The sequence below is a fragment of the Homo sapiens genome, chromosome 7 (genome assembly GCF_000001405.40).
Source record: "Homo sapiens chromosome 7, GRCh38.p14 Primary Assembly".
Lineage (NCBI taxonomy): Eukaryota > Metazoa > Chordata > Mammalia > Primates > Hominidae > Homo > Homo sapiens.
Window position 1 is genome coordinate 136,718,934 of NC_000007.14, and position 5,724 is coordinate 136,724,657.

At 32.9% G+C, this 5,724-nt stretch overlaps 1 annotated feature.

Moving 5' to 3' along the window:
- Positions 276 to 476: a silencer, noted in NCBI's record as "peak6765 fragment used in MPRA reporter construct". NCBI's record gives its function as "represses an SCP1 promoter by STARR-seq MPRAs in K562 erythroleukemia cells {active_cell/tissue: K562}" and the evidence as "EXISTENCE:reporter gene assay evidence [ECO:0000049][PMID:32103011]".

Genomic DNA, 5,724 nt, shown 5'->3' on the forward strand with positions numbered 1-5,724 from the left:
CAGAAACTTTTCAGGGGACTGTGGTACAAGGAGGACAAGGAATCTCAGCAGATTCAATAACCCTTGAAATACAGATTGTACCAATATATGAAAATTCAAATTCGTAATCCAAATAGGTTACATGGTTATTCCTATCACTTCTGACTTCTTGATAACACAAACATTCAAGATAGGGTTTTTCAATGTAAGGGTTAGTCTCATACATTTACAATGGGATTAGTATTATATTAAGTGGATTTACACAGTCTCTTCAGAAAAGTATTTGTTGTACCTTTGATGAGCAATCTAGATGAACGCAAAACAAAGAAACAGTGCAGAGTGAAGCAGAATATGCACTGAAATTTGAGAAAGACCGAAGAACTGAGTTACAGTCTCCGATTTGCCTTTATCTGATTGTGTGTTTCAGAGGAGTAAGAGATTAAACTCTCTGGGCCTCTAAAATAGTCAATAGATGATACATGAGCACCCTTCTAGCACAAGGATTTGGACTAGTTTTGCCATTTACACTATTTCTTTATCATATGATACTTTGAGTACTTTTTGTACTTTTCACTTATCCTCCTAAAGTCCTTTTTGGGAAGAAATTGGCCATTTATATGGGAAAGCCCTGAAGCTACAGTAGTTTCTCTTTTGAATTGGTTGATCTGAAATTACAAAGTGAATGCATGACTAGCTACAGGGAATCTTTCCCTACTGTACATGTTCTCTGGGTCAAGAGAAAAAAGGAAGGAGGGAGAGAGCTGTATTGTATAACACAAAGAACTCATGCTCTACATTCATGCATTCAAACACTTGGTCTCTTCAGACATCAGTGTGTGTGTGTATATATATATATACACACACTGTTACTAAATATATATATATACACACTGATGTATATATATGTGTGTGTGTATGTGTATATATATATACACACACACTGATGTATATATGTGTATGTGTGTATGTATATATATACACACACACACTGATGTATATATATATGTGTGTGTGTGTATGTGTGTGTATACACTGACCATCAGTTTTAGGCATATTTATAAGTATGTTTTAGTACAATATTATTAAATACAAGTGTATATTTCTAATAGCTATAATTATTTCTTAAGAGTAAACAGGAAAATAAATGCATTTTATCCTTTTTCATGTTAGAGAGTTTGAGTAATGAATCAGGTTCTTTTTGTATTTCTTATTCTTTACTTCCATTAAGTGATAAGTCTTAAGTTACAATAGGAGATCATTGGGAAAGACAGCCAAAATATGGCGGCTCTGTCAGGTAGCTCTGGAGAGTTGAATTCAAATGGACTCAACCCCCTTCAGGGCTCCTGCCTGGATGACAAGTAGGTAGGTATGTTTCAATAAATAGCTGCTAAATTAACTAGTTCAGCTGAAAGGAAAATGTCAACTGAATTCCCAATCCACTCTCTGGGTGCATTCAGCATTCAACAGGATTTCTCATGCTCTGCAATATCATTGGGTGTGATTTTAACTTAAGCCCAATAATTTATCATTTGTCTCTTTCTTTAGTGAATGGAGAAAACAATACAGGCTTAAGGTGGGGAGGAATCAAAATTTTCAACAGTCTAGTTATTTATCCTGAAATGGACTTTATTTTCATATTCATTCCTATTAAGAAAAAAAGTCCTCATATCCCTAATATTAAAATAATATTTTATTTTATAATTATAGATTTAGCCTCTGCAACATGCTGATTATATCACTAATCTACATCACTTGAGCAAGCCACATAAAATCATAGGCATGTTCAAACTTTCAATATTAGAAGTATTTATCAAGAAATAGTTTTATCTCATATTTCATTACTTAATTTTGAGTGGCATCTTTACCTTTGAAGTGCAGAGGAATCCCTATGGGAAATTAGGTCTGTACTGCCTATTTTTTCACTCAAAAGGCTGAAAAGACGTAGACCAAGAGAATATGCTTTGAGTATATTTAAGATAGTTACTGTTTCATCACTGGAACATGATCCAGAAATCTCATTTCAACCACCAAGAATCATCTGAATAAAGCTCTGTGTGGATTGGTATCCAGAGCCAACATCTCCTTAGACAGCAGTGCCCTTCATTGCTACTCGCATTGTTGATTCTACATTGCTACTGATATTAAAGCCCCTGTCTCCAGCTGAATTATGGCACACAAAATACTAGTAAACTAAATGAAACATCTCCTTTCCAGGGGTTTGTGTTTTTAGTAACAGATCAAATATTAACCAAGACTTTCTCCTTGACATAAGTCCCACATGTGTCCCAAGCACAGGGTCAAATTCTGTCCCACAAGGACTGCATAGCTTTAAACCAACATATCTGCTGGCATGATCATCTGATATGAATTGTATTCTATATTGCATGTATCACCACTATGTGGTAACAAACATCATTTAATAAGGAAATTTTTACATATTTTTTAATTAACTTATTCTGATTTCTCTTTAAATCGAACATTAATCCTTAATTTTCTTTCTTTTTTTCTAAAGAAAAATTTTGTTTTCTAAAGAAAAATTTTTTTTTATTATACTTTAAGTTTTAGGGTACATGTGCACAACGTGCAGGTTTGTTACATATGTATACATGTGCCATGTTGGTGTGCTGCACCCATTAACTCCTCATTTAGTATTAGGTATATCTCCTAATGGTATCCCTCCCCCCTCCCCCCACCCCACAACAGTCCCCAGTGTGTGATGTTCCCCTTCCCGTGTCCATGTGTTCTCATTGTTCAATTCCCACCTATGAGTGAGAACGTGTGGTGTTTGGTTTTTTGTCCTTGCGATAGTTTGCTGAGAATGATGGTTTCCAGCTTCATCCATGTCCCTACAAAGGACATGAACTCATCATTTTTTCTGGCTGCATAGTATTCCATGGTGTATATGTGCCACATTTTCTTAATCCAGTCTATCATTGTTGGACATTTGGGTTGGTTCCAAGTCTTTGCTATAATCCTTAATTTTCTACCTGATTTTGCAAATACCTTGCCATACTGTGATGTAACTCTCAGGACTGCAATTTTGAATGATATGACTGTAGGTTTAGGATCTTCTCTATCTTTGTTTTAAAAATTAATCTTTTTTCACTGGAATATATTTTTTTTTTACTAATTCAAGAAAAAAATCTTTAGGTCATTTGTGTTTTTAATTTTTATTAAAGAGACTTCATTGGTTTTATGCCAGCCTTCAAATGGCTCCCAAATCTAATAGTTCCAATGTTCAGATATTTACTGTCATGTATCTTATTTGTAACCTTAATCTTAGGTTCTTATGCAAATATTCACACGTTTATGTATGTTAATCACTACATTAACAGATTTTACTTTTTTCATGGCAGACTCTCATGCTAGATACAATTTGAGATATTCTCCTGAGTTATATAATTCATGCAGTGCTTTTCATTGCTAATTTTATGTTTTACTGAACCATTTTTGAGACACTAATACATTTTTGTGAATTGGGGATATGGAAGCAGCATAAAAGTAAGAGCAAAATATAAAGTTCACCACATGTAAAAATTAGCATGCAAGTGACAGGACCATATTTTAGTGAAGATAAACCAGAAAAATTGAGAACGAAAGCTGTCTTTCTAAAAAAAAATGGACAACCTTTAATAATATAATGAAAAAGAATGTATCATCTCCACAGTATAATAAATTTACATTTCAAGTTTGTATAATGAATATATATAACTTTAAGTTTTTATTGTAATTACTTTTATACACATTTTAGATCATTTGAGACAAATATGGTCTGCCAAAATATTTTTTAAAATACTTCTACATCATCTTATTTATAGAATAAGTGGATGGTTAATGTTTTAAAGGCTTCCTTAAAAATGCTGGATGAATCACTTACTAGCTAATTCACTATGTGACCTTGGATAATATTTAATTTCTTGGAAATTTAGTTTCATCACCTGTAAAATAGGGACAAAAATGCGTAGGTAAATTTGTGTTACAAAAATGGTATAACATCAAGCATGAATATCAATATAACTGCATAATAAATATTAGTTTCATTGTTTATCTAAATTCCTTATTGTACTGGTGTGAGTTTATAGGCTGGCCATAATAGAAACGTGAGTTTTTGTTGTGAAATACTTTGAGAAAATAAGTTTATATGTAATTGTATGTGATTATTTTTCAAAAAAAAATCAATAAGTACTTAGAATGATTATATCAGGAGAGAGTGCAGATAAAGTGAAGAATGGAATAAAGGTAAACATAGTAGTTTATTCCTTGCATTATTTCTACCCTAGCCTCAGTTAGAGAGAATTATCTATTGGTTAGTGTATATTTGGAGCTGAAGGTTTGGTAAATGGCTTTCATTTTGGTGAACACTAAGTAGAAAATATAAGCCAGCTGAATGGGAAAAGTAAAGATTGTCACTGTTCACATGTTTTAAACCTTCTAAAATGACTCTCAAGAGAGATAACTTTATAATTCCTTAACTTTACTACACTTTTTCTCTATTGTTTTACACCTATTTATATTTTTGTTCCTAAAATCTAATTCGTTTTGGTTAGAATGTTTTTGATTGATAGAGTGCTATGGTTTGACTATGTCATCCAACTTTTGGGTCATGAGGGCACCACCCTCATGAATGGATTAATGCCATTATCACAGGACTGGGTTTCTTATAAAAGGAGGAGATCAGCCTCGCTTTTGTCTGTCTTTCACCCACGTTATCCCTTCTACCATGTTATGACACAGCAAGAAGGCCCCCACCAGATGGTAGCACCTTGATCTGAGTTTTATCTGCTTTAATAATGGGCAAAAGATCTGAATAGACATTTCTCAAAAAAAGATATATAACATTTTCATTTAGAAGTACTTGAATCATTCATATTTATATCTTTATTATTTAAAACATCTGGGTTAAAATTCTAAACAATCTTTATCAACATAGAATACACATCAAGAAATAAACCATACAATGAAGTACAGAGAAAACATCAATACAGAGGAGTCTTTCTTAAGTCATTTTACCTTCAATATTGCCTAATATAATTGACTGTTATATTTTGTAATTATAAGTGTATTTACATAAATATGCAGTTTTATGCATACATATGTATGTTTGAGAAAGTATGGTGTCTCTGCTATTAGAGGTCAGGAGCTCATTTTCCAACCATACTAGGGTGTTTCCCTTATTTGCTTTGTCTGAGGTAATTACCACATCCTAACCAATGGGAAAGAAAAAGAGAGAAGTAGAGGGAAGAGGTGTGATGTCCAACTACTACGTACATCAGACATAAAACTTACATGCCTCCTTTGTGTTTGTAACCATTCACTTAGATGCATACCCACAAAGGGCTGCAAGTAGCTTTTATTTCTGATCATCTATGCCAACAATTAAAACTTGTACTTTCTGTAAATATGCAAGGAGTGAGAATATTTGAAAAAAACTTGAAGCATTTGCCATAAGCAAAAATAAGGGAAAAATTAATAACTGGAAAGAAAGAATAAGCCAAAACTTTAATTTGTCATTGTAAAAGCAATATAAAAGTTAATAAAACTACAGTGGTAAACATTACTAGGTGTATATAAAAAATACGGCCAGAAATCTGTAGAATAAAAATGGAAAATCCTCATTTCTTTCCCTCTCCTAACACACGTAATCCCAGTCACTAAAGAAGTAAAAACTCCTGATAATTTGTTGTCTTTAAACTCCAGAGCTTTCTCTATGTATGAGCAATAGCATGGACATATGCATGTTTTCAT